This window comes from Homo sapiens, chromosome 6 (assembly GCF_000001405.40).
Source record: "Homo sapiens chromosome 6, GRCh38.p14 Primary Assembly".
Taxonomy (NCBI): domain Eukaryota; kingdom Metazoa; phylum Chordata; class Mammalia; order Primates; family Hominidae; genus Homo; species Homo sapiens.
The window spans coordinates 46,129,856-46,150,546 of record NC_000006.12 but is presented as its reverse complement, the minus strand read 5'-3'; the positions used below and the strand labels follow the sequence as shown (position 1 = coordinate 46,150,546).

Below are 20,691 nucleotides of genomic sequence, written 5' to 3'. Positions count from 1 at the left end.
TTTCTTTATAAGGATTTTTTTATAAATTAATGTCTGATAGATATAAAGCTATTCACATTTTTTATTTGTTTGGTAAGTTGCATTTTTCGGTGAATTTATCCATTATTATGTAAATTGTCAAATCCATTGGCATAATATTCTGTATTATCTTTTTGACATATGTAGGATCTGCAGTGATGGCGCTTCTGTTATTACTGATATTGCCAGTTTCTGCTATCTCCCTTTTTTCTTAGGTCATCTTACCAATTTTACTAGTATGTTTTTAAAAAATAAATTTTCACTTTATTATTTTTTCTCTTCACGATTTCATTAATTTGGATCTTATTTTTATTATATCCTTCCTCCCACTGACTTTGGATTATTTCCTCCTTTTACTGTTTTCCTAAAGCGAAGGCTGTAATCATTGATTCTGAACCCTTCAGCCTCTCTTAAGATAGGCATTCAAAGCTGCAAATTTTCCTCTAATGCTTTAGTTGCATACTATAGATTTTAGTGCTACATATTTATGATCATTCATTTCCAAATATTTTATTTGCCTTATTTTTATTTTTCTCATAAGTTATTTAGAAGTGTATTGTATTGTTTAATTTCCAAATATTTAAGGATTTTCTGAATTGTATTGTTATTGACCCTCGTTCCATTGTGGTCAGAAAACATACTTTGTAAAATTGCAGTTCTTTGAGATTATTTACTGAGACTTGTTTTCTGGTCCTGTGTATGGCCAAACTTGGTAATTCTTCAATGTATACTTATAAAAATAATATATTTTGCAGTTTGGAGCTGTAATCTCCTCTAAATCTCATTTAAGTCAAGGTGGTTAATAAAATCACTCAAGTCTTCTGTATCTTTATTGTCTTTTTTTCTTGGTGTGGTTGGTGTATCAACGACTTAGAGAGGAGTGCTAAATTCTTCAATTATGTTTACGAATTCTCTTTAGTTCCATCAGTTTTTGATTAATGTGTTTTTAAGCTGTTTTTAGGTATGAACACTTTTAGAATTGTCATGCTTTCCTTACATATTGGTCCTTGTACATTAATGAAATCTCTCTGTTCCTGAAAATTATTGTCTTGAAGACTACTTTTTCTGATATCAATATGTATATATTTATTATGGTTAGTTTCTGATATGGTTTTGCTGTGTCTGCACCCAAATCTCATCTTGAATTGTAGTTCCCACAATTCCCACATGTTGTGGAAGGGATCTGGTGGGAGGTAATTGAATCATGGGGGCAGTTACCTCCATGCTGTTCTCGTGATAGTGAGTTCTCATCAGATCTGATGGTTTTATAAGGGTTTTTCGCTGCTTTGCTCTGCACTTCTCCTTACTGCCACCATGTGAAGAGGACATATTTGCTTCCCCTTCCGCCATGATTGTAAGTTTCCTGAGGCCTCCTCAGCCTTGTGGAACTGTGAGTCAATTAAACCTCTTTCTTGTATAAATTACCCAGTCCCAGGTATGTCTTTATTAGCAGAGTGATAATGGACTAATACAGTTTCCATGGCATGTTATTTTCTATCCTTTTTTAAAATTCAATTTGTGTCTTTGTATTTAAAGTGATTCTCTTGTAGACTACATGTAGTTGGATATTGCTTTTTCATCTACTTTGATAATCTCTGCCTTTTCACTGGAATGTTCAGTCTATTTACATCTAATTACAGATGTGGTTTAATTTTCATTTTTGAAAAATGTTTCTTTCATTCAAGATTGGTCCATAGTTTTTTTGTGTGCTATTTTTTCAAGTTCAGTATCAGTTTTATTCACCTTAAAAATAATATACTTCATTTTCTAAAATGTTAGTTTTTTGAGGCAAATATAAACTGATATCCAAGCCTGACAGAGTCACTAAAAAAAAAGGATTATTGTCTTTGAGGCCTGATACTTTTTTATACACTATAACTGCCTCAACCTTTTCCTAAATACAGAAACTGGTATGTTTTTGTTTTCTCTTTCTTTACTGGAGTCAGTTTTATCCAATAATTTTTTTCCTAGGAAATTATTCATTTATATTTTCAAATTTGTGCCAAATAGTGCAGATGCATGATTTTAATAGATATATTTACATCTGTGCCTTCTCTCCTTCAATCACCCGCTCCTAGTCTCTTCTGATTAGGTTAGCTTCTCAGCCTTTCAGCTGCCTCTTCCACAATTCATAGATGCCATTAGGGACTCATGTTTATTGGGTTTTTTTTTTCCTTCTAAATCCTAGCCTCTTCATTCTTCACTTTCTGGAAATTCCTCAATGCATAAGCACAAATCTTTTATTTGTCCAGATTTTCTAGTCCTCAGTAAGAGCACTGGTTTGAATTACACAGTCTACCATTACTGGATACAGAACCCAACATGTCTTTTTAAGATTACAAAAAAAGGGGGAGTGAGGGAGAATCTTCACAGAAATTTCGAGTGTAAAAAACATATTCACTCTCCTCAGTGGATATTTCAAACATTTTGTAAATCAATAGTACTCTGTCTAACCTATAGAAGCCCCTTTATAAAATGGTTATTTATATAGTGAAATTTTCTAGATTTGTTTTGGGGTTAATTTCTATTGCTCCTTTCCACCACTCGCCTACGAAAGTGAGATTGAGCATGGTTGATATGAATGTAATGCTGATTAAATTAATAGCAATTTGTATCTTTAACAGAAGAGGAAGGTCTAGACTGGAGACACATGTCTGTAAATCATCATCATGGAGCTGTCAGTGGAAGAGCTCACCAGGTTGTGTATTGACGGTGGAAATGAGATTTCAGAGGTCAAAAGGATAAAAAAAAGATACGTGGACACAGAAAGCCTGCATAGCAGTTTGGCTTACTCTTTAGGTATAGACTCTGCATTTACCTCCCAGGTAATTTTGACCATGGGACAGGAGTCAGAGGATCTAGTCATTTCAACATATACACATAGTTATTACATAAGAATATAGAACTATACACACATGTGCCTGTACATATATATATTAGTATATACATACATATATGTATAGTATACACACACACATACATATATATATACACTTACACATATACTTACATACACACATACACATATATGTTGTGATCAGCATGTCTGTTACAGGACTCCAGAGCCCAGATGGATCATTTAGATTCTCACATATTCTTTCAAGCAATGGTTGTGAATGTGTGTGTGAGTACACTAGTGGAGGATGGGGTGAGAAGGATGTAATAATAACCAAACATAGGCACTAAGGAGGCTGGGAGTTGGGGGAAGAGGCAAAATTAGCATCTGAACCTCAGGAAGCACAAGGTCTGGAAAATGATTCTAGATACAAGGCTCTCAGCAGCAAGAGTTAACCCATGAGTACACATAGGTAATTTGTTGGTATAAATAAAGTTTTACCACTTTTGAAATAATTCTCTTTCAGAGTAAAAAATGTTCCATTTATTCTTTTGTTTTCCTACAATTCTTAGCAGAGTTCTTTTAATACAAAAATAGGAAATGAATTAATCACTGCTCTAATAGGAGAATTCTTGAATCTATATTCAATTGGACAAGTCATTAAATGCCTATGGCTATGTACAAAGTTTAAACATTATAATGCTTCCCCTACCATCCCCACTATTTTATAATCGGTTTTTTTCAAACCTCTTCTCTTCTACCATAAGCCAATAAATCATAGCTCTGGAGGTTCTATAAAACTTATCTTGGCTTTCTTTCCAATGATGTTCTTATGCTGGATTGTATACTTACACACTGTTTTAAACTTTTTGTTAAAGAGTTAAAAAATCCTAATAAACACCTATGTGGGCTTCTATAATATTACTAAGTCATGTCAACATCTAGCACAGTAAGTATATTTTGCAAGAAGGTAACAAATGTAAAAATCACCAGTGACACTGAACTTTATATTTAATAATTACAGTAAGAATTTTTTGGTAGATTTTATTCACACACATTTTAAAAATCATGAACAAAGTCATTAATTCTGAACTCAAGTAACAGTCAAAAATATTTTAATTTAAATTAAGGCACTACATACACATTTCTTTAAAGCACACTGATGTTATTTTATTTACACACTATTTTAAGAATTAACAATAAATACACATTTTCCATCTCCTCCTTGTCCTTCATTTATAACTTTATATGTTAACAAGGAAGTAAAACCCTCCAAATAAAAGGAATTAAATGCAATAATCCATAAAGCTTATCAGATATGGGCACAAGAAGGAGACACCCAAAAACAATGTAAAAACATTTTAATCCTTTAATGTTACAAGAATTTATCTATAAATTCTTATGCCATTCCTAGTGGAATAATAATATAAAACCTATACACAAACATTGAAATATGTTTTATTCTATTGCTATTTACCAGAAGAATTGCATATAAATAACAGCAGCAGAACTGTCCCTATGTTATACATGAATGTACTTATTCTGAATTCACTGACTGAATTAAAAACACTTAACTCAAACTTTTCCTATTACCTTGGGGTATTGTTTTCACAAACAAGTAAATGTTTCCTAGAGCCAAATACTTTCTACACCCAGAAAATAGAGCAGCATGTTAGTTATTTAACAAAATACACACCAAAACCTTAATGTGAAAGGCTAGTTTTACTATAAGATTTTTCTCAGTGTACTAAAGGAGTCAATGGCTTTAACAGTGATAATTTTTTAAAAGATACAAATGAATTAACACATAGTTCAATATAATATATGTTTTATTAAATAAATACTATTCTTCTTGTCCCATCAACATATACTTTTTAAATTTTTGCTTAATTTACAATTCGAGTTAATATTTTGAGAACGTAAGGAAAGACAAATAGGTAAATGTCTTGTTGAAAGGGTTAAGATACTGACAGGACATACCTTCCTGTTCCATCCTATATAAAATCCACTCATGAGTTGGATGCCAAGTATAGATTTCTGAAACTCATAACCACCAATCACGATAATGCAATCATTAAAACTCACACCATTGCAAGGACCAAGTATAAAATATTCTGCTACTATTTTAGATACTTCAAAAACATCCACTACTTTAAATGAAAAGCTTTAAATGTGTCAATGCTATTTGCTTTTTAATGGAAATTAAAGTAGAATTTTTCTATTATTCTGTTTCGATCAACTATTAACCTTTAGGATAATTGTTTTATGTGAAAAAAATTAGAAATTTTTTTAAAGCAAAATTAGTACTATTGGTTTTTATTTATTTTACTGTTCTTAATACAGTTAACTTATGACCAACAGCATGGATTATTTATACAGGGTTTGAAAATGCCTCTCAACAACCACAAATACAATAGGCAGCAAATACCAGGCTCAAGAAATTAGCAGTGACTCAATAGGACGCACTGTATGTTTGATGACTGGCACCACTGTTGTTCTTTACCATCACAGATAATCAATATTTAACTGGGCTGCATATTTATTATACTTTTATATTTGTAAAACAGTTACCAAGTTTATTTTATATTGTCAAAACTTTAAAGATCATACTATTAACTGCTTGTCTCACGTACTGATGAATGGTTCTTGAGCCCAATTTTTCCCCTACTAAATATAATCTAGTCTGTCACAACCTAGTTTCTTCATATTAATTTTGATTACTAGAAGGTACCAGCTAGCAAAGGCAGGATGACAGTTCTTCACAATAAACCCTTGGCTCTGAACAAACATGTTAAACAGAGGGATTATTTCTGTGATGCAAATACTGGAGAAAAAAGTGGAGGTAGCACTAAGGCTATTCTGCCACTTAACATATGAATGGTGTGAAAGACCAAAAGATACTAAATTTTGTTTAAAATTTCTTAACTATTCTATAGCCTAAAAAGTAAGGCATAAAGTCCCAAAGATAAATACAAAAATCTCCATTCCTCATTCTGTCCCAGTCAAATTGAGATTTGTATTTGGGTCATAAATTTTTCTGTAGCATTTGGATACCTCAGGTTACAACAAACATGAGAGAGTTAAATGATAAAAGTTAATGAAATTAAGTTATGATTTTAACTTGTGAGTTAGGAGAAAGTAAACAAATATGAAGTGCAAAAATAACCTTTCCTGAGATCTGTGTGCTTCAGGAATGTGGAAGCCTGGCCACAGTCCATCTCTGACCTCCTTATATAGTAAATCACATAATGTCCACACAACCACACACAAACACACTTGCACAGGCACACGCAAACAACTAAGTAACTTACATAAAGGCATTAAGCATAGATAGAGAGAAGAGCACTTGTCTCTCTTTTCTTCTGAATTTTTTAACAATAATCTTTAAGACTAACAGCTTAAGACATAATGGTGACAACTCAGGCTTTTATCAAATGGTCTTTGCTTTTTTTTTCAAATAGGTTTCCTTAAAATATTTCTTCATTTGCTATATCTTTTCTGTCTGCTCCAATTTTATTTACCATCACAGAGCATTTCCTACCTCAAGAGGGTACTTGAGATACAAACTAATTAAAGGTAAATATAAAAATATAGGAAGCTTTTCCTCCCTAATATACAAAATTCACAAATTGCATAAAGATTTCTGTTGTTTTCTTTACAAATATATAAATTTATTAGAAAAACATGCCTACTAAATTTTGGTATATTTTCATTTAAAGATGTATCACATCTTCATCGCAAAATACAAGCAGAGGAAGTATTTTTCTCAAAAGCCATTTTTAGTATTTCTAGTTAGGATTGATGTTACCTAATGATTTCCTACCACAAGATGTTACCTAATGATTTACTAACAATTTTACTATGGTCAGCGTTATCTTATTAGCAAATGCACCGAAACAAAACACAAGGAAAACAAAGTAATAATTTTAACATGCTTAGTCTAAGTTCTTTGTCTTTCAAAGTATTCTTTTTCATAGTTACAACACTATTCTTTGGATGTATTCTTAGTTTTGTGATTAATCAAAGACACTTTGTATAAGCCCTAGCACATGTCACCCAATTAAAGGATCATCATCATCTTCTTGTAGCTGAAGTCGAGAAAATGGACGAGGTACAGAAAGTCTATTCTGCATGATTATTATGAGGCATGTTAGCATGGTTAACACCAAGAGTGAACCGATAACAATCGCGATGGCTTCTGGGAGATTAATGCACCACTGGTCAACTAACAAGCACTTAGTATGACCAAAGGTCCCATTATTGGGATGTGGTTTTAATCCCAGGATGTGGCACATCATTGGATAAATATCCACAATGTTAATTGTGCTATGCTTGTAGCCTTTGTGAAATGCAGGTCCGTGGGCAGCTAGAAATGGATGCATACTAGGCAAAGAATTATCATAACCATGGTCACCTACTGAAAAAGAACAAAACAACATCAGTCAATAAGATCAGACTTTTTAGGACAAAATAACTTGCTTCTAGTATATAAACATTCAATTCTTTCAGAAAGGGACTAGAAATAAAAATTTCTATTTCTTCAACTCAGCTATGTTCCATATTTCCCTCTCTCTCTCTCTCTCTCACATACACACACAAACACACACATATGCCCCTTTTCCCAACTGGTCATACCCTCAGACTTTACCACCACTTGTCAACCTGATGTACTTATCTTTCAGCCCGAGTACCAATTACTTCACTTGTCAATCTCAGCACTGTTTGCAAAAGCTCACTGCAAGCAGTACCAGTTATAAAGACAGTGGTCAGGCTGAGGGTTCTGTGTAACTGGGAAGAACAGAAGTGAGTAAGGCCAACAAATGGAGAAAAAGAAAATCTGCAGCCTAACCTATCTCAATTGTTACAGGAGGGATCTTGCGTTGAATGTGTTGTCTAATCTGGTGACTCTATCCCAGTAAAAGTTAGACTTAAAGAAAAGCATATGATAGTCCCTAATACAACTCCAATAATAAATTCCCAATTTTTAGCTTTATTTTAACAAATGTTGCCATTTAACGTACACCCGTTGTATTTAATAAGCTCCCACTTTCATATTAAGTACGGGTGACTGGGTGATGAGTATACTGATATTTGTTATATTATTCTTTGGTGGTATGTTTGAAATATTTCATCATAAAAATAACCAATATGACAAAAAGCAGAATATATAAAGATTTCAATAATATTAAAACACACACACATATATTAGAAAAAAATATATATTTTTCTATATATAATATATAATATATTCTACATATATATGTAGAAAATATATATTATAATTATATGTAATTATATATTATATATAATATATAATATACATTATATATATTATATATATTACATATAATTATATTACATATAATATATATAATATAGATATATATTAGAAAAGAATATATATATGAAAAAAGATTGGATGGGGAGAAATGTCCACAATTAACATTTGCCTATAAATCCATACTGAGGGATTATGGATAGTTTTTGTTCTCTTTCCTATGCTTTTCTATACTTTCGGTTGTCAACAACAAATATGCAACATAACATTGATGTAAATAATATACAAACTTCATTGATTCTGAGTCTGTCCTATGCTTGCCTGATACTTCTAAATTGCTATATATCAGGGAACTGTAAACTACAGCCCATAGCGAAGGTTAGCCCTCCATCCTTTTTGTAAACAGAGTTTCACCGAAGCACACCACTTCAATTTCTTTACAGGTTGTCTATGGCTACTTTTACACAATAAAGGCAGAGTAGAGTAGCTGAGACAGAGACCAGCTGGCCCACAAAGCCTAAACTATTTTCTATTTGGCCCTTTACTAAAAAAGTTTGCTGACCCCTACCATAGACCACAAAATTAGATTTTAAAAAAAGCATTTGAATTGAATATGAAATATGGATAAATAAGCTTCAGTTTGAGGCAAGCCTGTAACTCACCCCTATACATTTTCTCCCCTATATATTTTTTAGGAGAGATTTTGATGTATCTATTTTGTTCACTTGGTGGATTTGTTTGGTTACTTTCTGGTTCTTGCCCAGTGTTCTAAATAGCTGTAGCATTCAGGTAAATGATTTTGTTACTGGGGAAGACTTAGGGTTACTCAGACAAATTTTTTTTAACACACAAAAGAACAAGGATTAGCTAATCTCTCCCCTTTTACTGTTTCTTTACTTCTCTATTTTGTATAAATCAAGAGAATGAATCTTGAAAATTACTGACAGTAATTGCAGTTTTGGAAAGAAAGTAGGACTTTGCCTTCACTCTTAAATTTACTTTCTAATTTAAAGGTGAAATTGTGATTACTGTAAATTGCTATTAAATGAAGACCTGGGAATTATCTGGTTGAAAATTGAACTAATTATTCTGTGTGAACTTCTTTAAATCGAAGTACCCTCTTAACACAACAGTATCACAAGGTATGATTTGTTCCTAGGATACAACAGAAATATCTCAACTAAATACTTACATTTTTGTGATGATTCATTTAGCACAATTGTCCAGCCTTCATCGGCAACCAAAATAATGGGCTGAATTCGATCATTATGTTGGTAATAAAATCTGTTAGGAATGTCTTCTTTGAGATAAACATTCATATGAGGGCTACAGTTTTTCAGTTTGTTATAAACCTCTGTTCTATCTGAGAAAAAAAAAGAAACAGCAAAGGAAACAAGTTATGATTGATAAGGAAAAAATATGTCTAACTAGAATAATTGGAAGTAAATTATAGATAATGTCATCTATTAAATCACTTCTTAAAAAAACAGAGCAATAATAATGTGAGAGTGTTGGGGACTGATACACACAAACACACACCTTTCTCAAACATTAACAAATCTGTTTCACTTTGTGGATTACCATGGTGGACTTTTACAGATAGGGGACATTTTTCAGGTGTATCTTCCTAAGTAAACATAAACTAATTACATGTTACTACTAACTACTACTTCTATGATCAGTAGAAGAAAGTACCTCACCACTAAATATCACACACTAAAATCTAAGATGTTTAAGGATAAAAATTTCCTTTTTCTAGTGCAAATAATTAGATATATCAAAAGCAAAGAAATACTCACTTTGAAACTAAACCATAAGCCATATAACTAAACCATAGGCCAACTGCTCTCAACTTGTAAACAAGAGGAAAAAAACATATAATCCCACTCTGAGTATATGGTTCTAAACTACAAAAAGCTAGAGCTTCATTCTTTTATACAACCCACCCCCCTCAATCAATTGCCCCATTCGAATAATAGTATCCCTCAGTTGAATGTTTACTTACTTATTTTGGGAAGTATTGCAGCAACTGGGCTCAAATCTATAAGAGTGTAGTATGAATGATCGATGCAGGAATCCAGGTTTATCAGTCTGTCCTGAGAACACTGGGTCATCCCATGATCACTTGTAATGATCACATTAAGATTTTCCCATAGCCCTAACATCTTGAGTCTTTGGACTAAGTCACCGATAAGATCATCTATTTTTTTCAACACTCTGCTCATGTTTTCTTTATCTTCAGGTCCGTATTTGTGGCCACTTGCATCTGGTTCTTCCCAATATAGTGTTGCAAAGGTGACTGGTGGGTTCGAATTGTTTAGCCACATAGTAATATTATTTAGTCTTTCCTCAAATGACACTGAGGAGTTGTAATTCATAAAATAGGAAGAGATGGTATCGTGAATGGGTACATCAGTACCAGGCCACATAGCAGCAGCACTTGATCTGTTTTCCTGAAGCTGATTGGTCACCCAAATAGGTACTGCCTCATTCCACCAAAAAGGATCCTTGTCATTAGAGTCAGAAAAGTGTTTCTTTGTGACTGCATCATACATGGAATTAGCCACAATGCCATGGCTTTCTTCATACAAGCCTGTCACAATACTGTAGTGGTTTGGAAATGTTTTTGTGATAAAAACATTTTTAACATGCTCTACCAAAACACCTTCTTTGATAAAATTCTGGAGATGAGGAAATTCATAGTTCTTCAGATAATCAGCTCTGAAGCCATCAAAGGATACTAGTAGTAACTTAGGTGGCAAACTAGAGGAAGAGTCACTTCTAAAACCAGTTATAAGTCCAGAAAACAAAAGTATTACTAATAACTTCATAATGAACACGTTGAAGGACAGCAATCAGGGTTCCTAAAATGTAAAAACACAACTCATAAGTAGTAATTCTATTTCATTTGGGTTAAGTTTTAGAATTTTAGCCCACAGGAGGAGAGAACCAACATTTATATGCCAGCTTTACCTATATTAACTTAAATAATACCATTTATTTAAAAATAACTAAAAGCTAAAATTGGAAAAAAAATTGTCTTGTCCAATTTCCTATTTATATATATGCCCTACTCTATCCTTCATATGGGCCATTTTTATACTCCACATCAATACTCCTTCTAGGCTGTCAGCTCATTTGCCACATTAGAAATTCTTCGAAAGGCTTAATAAAAATAGATGCAGACACTAAAATGATTCTTTTGTAAAACATAACGTTAATGCCAAGCTTTCAGAGGCTCCAGAGATGATGATTATTTTTCCAGTTTAATAAATTGTACTTTATAGTTTCTTTAACCCACAGAAATAATTGGTGGAAATTCTACCATATTGGTTTATTGCCAGTTCTTGTTGAAAATATTGCTATAAAAAAGGGGGAATAAGAAATAAATGCTATTGAGAAAAAAGCCCCCATCAGTCTGTATGTGCCCCAATAGTCACATGAAGTTGATTAACAAACATGCAAAGCCTACATGGACATGGATGCTCCAGTAACTTATGAAGAAATCCAATAGCTATTGAAATGAGTTTTATTACCACATCCCTCTTAAACTTCCTTTTAGCTATCAACAACTATTTTCACTAATACCCTAGGCTTAAAGCTATCTCTGATTTTTTGTTCTTTCTTTAAATCAATTCACTGATGACAAAAACAGCTTTTCCCTAATAAATCTCCCTGCCTTTGCTCTCTATCTTCTTTGGTCTCTAAGAAAATAGGACATGTGAGTGAGGTAAAATGATTCACTTCAGATGGACAGGATGCCTCTTCCATTGTAACAGGAGAGAAGGAGCAAAGGTAGGGGAGCTGACAGATTTGAGGGCTGGAGGTGAAGAGAGTTGCCGGAGGTAGGGTCAATTATTGACAGGGAGTAGAATGGTAAAAGGTTCAGAGGTTTGAGGAACAGAAAGAATGTCTGAAATAGTTAATGTGGAAGATGGGAGAAAGTGTGAGTAAACAGTAGAACTGGAGTCAATGTTGACAGCTGTCATGAATTTTCATAGTGACACAGTTGACTGGTTTTCTCTAGCAACTCAGTAAACCTGGCACAGGCATGAACAAAACAGGCAGCTGATCCTACCTGGATTTGAGATTCTGCCAGAAACTGAAGGAAGACAAAGGAAGCTGAAGATGCTAACTAAAGAGCAGCTGAAATTGGGGCTGCAGCATCTAAGCTGAAACTGACAGATGTAAGTAAGAAGTAGAGAAGTTTTTCAACTAGAGGTTCTGGTGAAGTCAAAGAACTAATGAAGATTAGTTAAGAGTAACTTTTAGTGAAAGTTACAAAGATCTGGGATTGCAGTTAGAATGCAACAAGTGAATGCATTATTTCAGACTAAGAAGACCCTGAACATGGTAACGGGTATGCATGTTGAGGTCCCAGGTATGAAGAGCAGCAAGTTAACTAATATGATTATGAAGTTCAGGAGTCATTTATTGTGTATTCTCTCAAGTAGACTGGAAACACTTTCTCTCTTTCTTTCAAACATGCCACCTGGAGGATCTGCGTACTTGTGGTCAAATACTGACAGAGGCTGTGATCCTCTGAAAAACTGACTTAAAATTAGGAAGACCAAAGGCACAGAATCTGATTTATGAGGATCTTGGGGTCTACAAAATCTCTACTATTTTAATCGGAGACAGGTTGCCTTCTGAATGTGGTGCATGGAACATTTGTTCCTGGTGCTCCCTAATAACCAAAACTAATGCAGAGTAACAAAACCACCTCTCCAAAAGACAGAGTAACAAACCTAATGAGTGGTAGAGGAGGCATATGGGTATTTCCACAGACACAGCCCTAGTCATAGCACAGCAATTTCAGCTATCAAGAATCTAGACAATGGTACTTACCCGTTCATTCAATATTTTATGCCCTCAACACAGTGTTTATGTATGACTTAACTCCTCCCTCAGAGAGTTTTAACTGGGTTCAATCAGATGACAGTATCATGTGGGTTGCTACAATTTTAGAACTTGTGTCAAGGGCATGCAGGTCTCCATGAAAGCTTGGATTGAGTAGATTCCCTGGTTTCTCTCTGGGTATAGTTCCCCATATCCAAATATTTCTTTCCAATCACAGAGTAGACTTTTAAATCAGCAAATACGGCGGCACAGTATCTTCTCACAGGGAAAACATACTCATAAACTTAATTTTTGAAAAACACTATTTACTGCTCTGGCTCTTTCCCTGTGTAACTATTTTATATTCCCAACCAATCCTATCCCACTGCACAGCTGTTCTGCTGCCAAATCCAATCTGATATGTGTCAGATGGAATGCATTCTCTATACCTCCAAATCTTTTCCCCCTTCCTTAGTTCCCAACCCTTTAAAACAGCTTCGCCATTCTCTCAGTAACAAAGAGATCCCCTGAGTATATGATCAGTTGCCAGTCTAGTCAATTCTATCTTCGTATCATCTAATACAGCATATCAGACAAAAGAATCACTGAAGGGAGCTTGTTAAAAGTGCAGCTGTCAAGTCACTATAACTAGGAGATTCTGATTCAGTCAGTCCACAGTAGAGGCCAGAAACCTGCATTTGAAACAAGCATTTTTAACAGCTACCCACTCATCCATCTCTACTACTGCTATATTTTTTAGTCCTCAATACCTCTTGTCCAGAGCACTTTTGTCTCTTAATTCACCTTTCTACCTCAACCACCTTCCACTTTCTTACCTCACACCTGCTGCCTACTCAGTCTCTCTGGGCACAGCTCTGTTCATGTTCCCTTAATTTAAAATATATTCAAAAGGCCCCCCTGCCTATACAAAAAGCCCAAATGCCTCAGTCTCACATTGAAGCCCCTCCAATATCCAGGTCCAACTTGCATGCAAATTACTGTGAAATAAATACAGAAATAACTGCCAACTTGAATTTCCATTCACCATACTTCATTGCCATGGTCTTTCTGAAATGTATTACAACAACATGTAAAGTATAATCATCGTTCATCTTGGTGGCCTATAATAGCTCTTCAGTGTTAGTTTGCACTTCCAGAATATCCTAAAATTAGTTCCTACATATGAAGGTTAACTCAGCAGACACCTGGGTCATTTTGTAAAAAATCATTCAACAAATATCTACTATCACTAATTCCATAACACAAAAGTATATGTATGTGCCATGTATTAGGGGACAAAGAACTTATACTTTTCAAATATATAATAATCAAAACAGGAGCATAAAGAACCAAAATAATAAATCAGGCTGCCAACTGGAAAAAGAAAGACAGGCTTTACACTTTAATCAATTTTGTTCTACAACACCAAATAACAGAATAGACTTAAATCAGCAAATAGGTGGCACAGTATCTTCTCACGGGGAAAAATACTCATAAATTTATGAGTACATATTTGTAACAGTGTGTTTGAGATTCATACACCATAATGTATTATTTTAAAAGCTAAGGTGTTAGAGAAATTACTACAAATGGAATATCACAGTATGTCCAAAAATTTTCCAGTAGATTTACCTCTAAGAGCAGAGGGGTGCCAAGACAATTCAACAAATGGTAGAGGGACAACTGGATATCCACATGCAAAAGAAATTGAAGCCCTGCCTCATACCATACACAAAAACTCATTCAAAGTAGATCACAGACCTAGATTAATAGCTAAAACTGTAAAACTCTTAAAAGAAAATGTAGGAGTAAATGTGGGAGTACATTTTTGTAACCCTGGGTTCAACAGAGCCTTCTTAGATACCACACCAAGAGCACAAGTGACCAAAAAAGAGAAATAAACTGGACTTCAAAATTAAAAAGTCTCGTGCCTCAAAGGATACCATCAAGAAAGTGAAAAGACAACCCAGAGAATGGAAGAAAATATTTGCAAATCATATATCTGAAGAGATTTGTATCTAGACTATATAAAGAATTGCTACAACTCAATAATAAAAGTCAGATAATCCAGTCAAAAAATGAGCATGAGCTGAAAAAGATATTTCTCCAAAGAAGACACAAATGACAAATTAGCACATGAAAAGATGCTCAACAGCATTAGTCATCAGAGAAATGCAATCAAACCCACAATAAGGTACCATTTCACACCCCGAAGGATGAGTAAATAAAATAGATAACAACAAGTGTTGATAGAGAAATTGAAACCTTTATAAACTGCTACTGGAAATGTGAAATGGTACAGCCACTTTGGAAAATATTCTGGCAGTCTTCAAAGGGTTAAACATAGGGCTACCATATAACCCAGCAATTCTACTATTAGGTATGTGCTCAAGAGAAATGAAAACATATGTCCACACAAAAACTTGTACACAAATGTTCACAGCAGCATTATTTGTAAGAATCAAGTGGAAACATCTCAATGTGCACTAACTTATGAATGGATAAATAAAATGTAATATATCCATATAATGAAATATTATTTGACACAAAAAGGAAGGAAGTGCTAACACATTTTATAACCTGGATAAATACGCTAAATGTAAGAACGCAGTCACAAAAAATCACTTATTATATGATTCCATTTAGATAAAATGTCTAGAACAGGCAAATCTATAGAGACTAAAAGTAACTATAGTAACTATCTAGGGCCAGGGGTTGGGGGGGAAATGGGTAATAAATGCCAGTAAGTATAAAGTTTATTTTTGGGGTTATGAAAATGTTTTCAAATTGATTGTGATGACAGTTGCACAGCTCCATAAAGCAGTACTCTTAAAATGAGTGAATTGAATGGTGTGTGATTTATATCTCAATAAAATATTATTTTTTAAAAAAGAGCAGAGGGAAGTGAAATTGTAATCTGAAATGTCCTGCCACAAAACAGGAAACATTTTTGATCTCATTTTACCTCAAAAAAGTGAATTTTATACTCCAAAATACACACTTGAGTGTTTTAATGTGAAAGTTTTATACCACTTCCCATGTGCAAAACAGACCAAAAACCTGTGTCCGTCCTCTCCCACAAAACACAAATCAAAATGCTTCTTCCTCAAATCTTGAGTTAAAAGGATGCTCCAGGAACACATGCTGTTAATCCTGTGGCTCAGTAATCCCTCAGCACACTGCTGGGATCCAAGCGTCCCAGTCCTTGTTCTCAGGATAAGTAGTACAGACAAAGTGGAAAGACTATAGACTGAAGTCAGAAGGGTCCCAGAACCTGAACTCACAATTAGTAGATGGGTGATCTTGGGTAGATCCAACTTTTCTTGGCTTCTGTTTCCTTGTGTGTAAAATGAGGATGTGTAAAGGTTACAGAATAGGCCCTCAAAATTAGTTTCCCTTTATCATTCTAGTTACAAAGATGTTGGGAAAAAAAACAAGACTGTACTATGATAGGCAGAATATTATTGTGAAACTATAAAATACATTAGGAATAATTTAGTCTCATCTCTTCGCATATGATGACCTTGCATATGACTTTGCTTATGATGAAGCTAAAGTCCAGTGATTAGCCGGGCTCAGAAAGCAATCAGTTGCTTCACTGTGTTCTTACTAATTTCATGTCCTCAATAAGTTTACAAGTCCAGTAATAGCAAGTTAACAAGTCTGATAATAATCTCCAAACTATTAACAGAACTCTTCCTGATAGAACACCTTTTATTAGCAGTGCCGGATCCATGTCTGCCACATTCTGTCTCATTCTAATAGGGAGTGTTAAGCTACAGACAAACCAACAATGAGAAGTTCTCAAGCAGTTTCCAAGGAATGAAAATAAAGTTTGCAGGGAATGAAACTGTTACAGTATAAAACATTGAGAGAAATTCTGTAATTTTTCACACCAAAAAGATGTCAAAGAGAAGAAAAAAAGCAGACCTCTCTGGACTGCAACCAAATATCCCTACAACAAATGGAAGTATGAGTTAGTCTTCAATTCAGGGGACAAACTACCTTCTAATTTCTCTGGGAAGACGTTCTTCCCTGGATGGAATGCAGTCAACTCTCACTGGCATTCCTAGCCCATGTGAAGCCAAGAGAGTATAAACCATTACAGGATATGGTGAAAGATATTTGTCACTATTAGCACGCCATCTGCTCTGTAATACAATGAAACTCTCATACACCTTTAAAAACTTTATTCTATGACTATAAATAAGGCAGTTATCTTTAGATTATTATCAGTTGCTTTCTTATAGTCTAAGGAAAAAAATATACTCCTTAAAAATTCCTTAGTCTTAAAAATCGTAGGATTCTAAATTATTCTCCAATTTTGTAAAATACACAGAAATTTCTAGCATACACAAAGTTTTCTAGCAGCTTCAAAACACTTACACTTATCTTACTTTCTACATAGTAAAATACCTCCCTCCATTACTCCTTGTCCTTTCATCAAAATTTCTTCCAAATTAAGTCAAATTGTCCCTGTTTGCAGACGACATGATTGTATATCTAGAAAACCCCATTGTCTCAGCCCAGAATCTCCTTAAGCTGATAAGCAACTTCAGCAAAGTCTCAGGATACAAAATCAATGTGCAAAAATCACAAGCATTCTTATACATCAACAACAGACAAACAGCCAAATCATGAGTGAACTCCCATTCACAATTGCTTCAAAGAGAATAAAATACCTAGGAATCCAACTTACAAGGGATGTGAAGGACCTCTTCAAGGAGAACTACAAACCACTGCTCAAGGAAATAAAAGAGGATACAAACAAATGGAAGAACATTCCATGCTCATGGGTAGGAAGAATCAATATCGTGAAAATGGCCATAATGCCCAAGGTATTTATAGATTCAATGCCATCCCCATCAAGCTACCAATGACTTTCTTCACAGAATTGGAAAAAACTACTTTAAAGTTCATATGGAACCAAAAAAGAGCCCGCATCGCCAAGTCAATCCTTAGCCAAAAGAACAAAGCTGGAGGCATCACACTACCTGACTTCAAACGATACTACAAGTCCACAGTAACCAAAACAGCATGGTACTGGTACCAAAACAGAGATATAGATCAATGGAACAGAACAGAGCCCTCAGAAATAACGCCGCATATCTACAACTATCTAATCTTTGATAAACCTGAGAAAAACAAGCAATGGGGAAAGTATTCCCTATTTCATAAATGGTGCTGGGAAAACTGGCTAGCCATATGTAGAAAGCTGAAACTGGATCCCTTCCTTACACCTTATACAACAATCAATTCAAGATGGATTAAAGACTTAAACGTTAGACCTAAAACCATAAAAACCCTAGAAGAAAACCTAGGCATTACCATTCAGGACATAGGCATGGGCAAGGACTTCATGTCTAAAACACCAAAAGCAACGGCAACAAAAGCCAAAATTGACAAATGGGATCTAATTAAACTAAAGAGCTTCTGCACAGCAAAAGAAACTACCATCAGAGTGAACAGGCAACCTACAAAATGGGAGAAAATTTTCACAATCTACTCATCTGAAAAAGGGCTAATATCCAGAATCTACAATGAATTCAAACAAATTTACAAGAAAAAAACAACCCCATCAAAAAGTGGGCGAAGGACATGAACAGACACTTCTCAAAAGAAGACATTTATGCAGCCAAAAAACACATGAAAAAATGCTCACCATCACTGGCCATCAGAGAAGTGCAAATCAAAACCACAATGAGATATCATCTCACACCAGTTAGAATGGCAATCATTAAAAAGTCAGGACACAACAGGTGCTGGAGAGGATGTGGAGAAATAGGAACACTTTTACACTGTTGGTGGGACTGTAAACTAGTTCAACCATTGTGGAAGTCAGTGTGGCGATTCCTCAGGGATCTAGAACTAGAAATACCATTTGACCCAGCCATCCCATTACTGGGTATATACCCAAAGGACTATAAATCATGCTGCTATAAAGACACATGCACACATATGTTCATTGCAGCATTATTCACAATAGCAAAGACTTGGAACCAAGCCAAATGTCCAACAATGATAGACTGGATTAAGAAAATGTGGCACATATACACCATGGAATACTATGCAGCCATAAAAAATGATGAGTTCATGTCCTTTGTAGGGACATGGATGAAATTGGAAATCCATTCTCAGTAAACTATCGCAAGAACAAAAAACCAAACACTGCATATTCTCACTCATAGGTGGGAATTGAACAATGAGAACACATGGACACAGGAAGGGGAACATCACACTCTGGGGACTGTTGTGGGGTGGGGGGAAGGGGGAGGGATGGCATTGGGAGATATACCTAATGCTAGATGATGGGTTAGTGGGTGCAGCGCACCAGCATGGCACATATATACATATGTAACTAACCTGCACATTGTGCACATGTACCCTAAAACTTAAGGTATAATAATAATAATTAATAAATAAATAAATCTAAGACCTGAGACCATAAAAAAAAATGTCTTCCAAATTATATCCTGTAACTAATTTAAGTGGAGGTGGGGGGAAGACGCACAAGTGCAGCAGGCCTCTTAATTTCCTTAAAACAGATTGAAACAATCTCTGAGGGGAAAAAAGAAGAAATAGAAGCTCATAATACTGAAACCAGCAGTTGATATTTCACAGTAGTTGGCAAATCTTCCTTCAGACTTGGGTCCACAAGATTGCCTGATTAAGCAAAGCCCTTCTGGAGTCAGATCTGGTGTAAACCTGAATCTGCCTGTCACTAGTTGTACAATCTTGGTTGGACGCGTCCCTTCACTTCTCTGAGCCTGACTTTCGTCATCTGTAAAATGGGAATGCTATGATCTCATAGGGTGGTTGTGACAAGAAAAGGAAGCATTGTTTTTAAGTCCTTACGTGCTTTTAATCCAGCCCTTTAAAAAGGCACTTAAATGTACCTTTTATTGTTTGGTTGGCTTGTTTTCCAGGAAATTAGTTCTTAAATATCATTATCTATAATTAACATAAACTCTAATCTAATATTCAGACAGACGGATGTCGATGCCATGGGTGGTTCTCCTTTAAAACCAAAAGCCTGGCGACCCCGCCCCAGCTCCCCTCAATTTTACCCCAGACCCACCTTAGGTTCCTCCACTACCGTTCGGCTGACTTCCCTCCCTTCACACTTAACACCACAGGTTGCCTTCCCCAGCACCTGCTAATTTTTCTTTCCTCTTCCCTTCCTGGCCTCCGCCTCGGCCCGCCACCTCCCTGGCTCTTTGAGTCCCTTCGTGGACGTCCCCGCCGCGCCCCAGGGGATGTGCGTGTAGTGGGGGAGAGTGGGTCATAGGGTCTGGTCTCACCATCTCTATTTTCAAAGCCCCTAGGGGACTGGAGAGGGGGTGACATTGCCCCCCAGAACGCCGAGCGCGCGAGGCGCGTACTCACCAGCCGCCGCGGTCGCTTCTTTCCAATGCGCGGAACTCGGCGCTCGCGGCACCTGGCACTCGTGGGAAGTTGCGGGGAAGGGGGACCTGGAGGAAGAGGGGCGATGCCGAGCTCTTCCTGAGGCGCCTGCGCAGTGGCAGGCGCCGCGCCGCGGGGCACAGCCCCAACGTCCCTATCTGCGCCGCTCGGGGCGCTCCGAGTGTGCGCAGCTGCCAGGCGAGCGTCTAAGGCGCCAGCTCAGGGCTGGCTGGGACCGGGCAGCAGAGTCTGAAACACGTCCTTGGATTGGATGCTAGAACCAGCGTTGAATGTAACTTTCTTTCCGATTGGTTAG

At 35.7% G+C, this 20,691-nt stretch overlaps 1 protein-coding gene across 1 annotated transcript, besides 1 other annotated feature; it reads right to left on the bottom strand.

Moving 5' to 3' along the window:
* Positions 1 to 3,858: 3,858 nt before the first annotated feature.
* On the bottom strand, positions 3,859 to 20,558 carry ENPP4 (ectonucleotide pyrophosphatase/phosphodiesterase 4). Its single transcript, NM_014936.5, has 4 exons — positions 20,358 to 20,558; positions 10,138 to 10,996; positions 9,325 to 9,495; positions 3,859 to 7,271 (listed from the first exon to the last, which is right to left on the bottom strand). The coding sequence occupies exons 2-4, from the start codon at positions 10,961 to 10,963 to the stop codon at positions 6,907 to 6,909; spliced, it is 1,362 nt and encodes a 453-aa protein (NP_055751.1). The 5' UTR covers positions 10,964 to 10,996; positions 20,358 to 20,558; the 3' UTR covers positions 3,859 to 6,906.
* Positions 12,986 to 13,155: an enhancer, noted in NCBI's record as "active region_24650". NCBI's record gives its function as "activates an Ori minimal core promoter by ATAC-STARR-seq in GM12878 lymphoblastoid cells {active_cell/tissue: GM12878}" and the evidence as "EXISTENCE:reporter gene assay evidence [ECO:0000049][PMID:35858748]".

Coding starts and splice junctions, on each gene's coding strand:
- ENPP4 (NM_014936.5), bottom strand. CDS start 10,963: ATGAAGTTATTAGTAATACTTTTGTTTTCTGGACTTATAACTGGTTTT. Junction 9,496..10,137: donor TGCAATACTTCCCAAAATAA/GTAAGTAAACAT, acceptor TTTTTTTCTCAG/ATAGAACAGAGGTTTATAAC. Junction 7,272..9,324: donor AAATGAATCATCACAAAAAT/GTAAGTATTTAG, acceptor GTTCTTTTTCAG/TAGGTGACCATGGTTATGAT.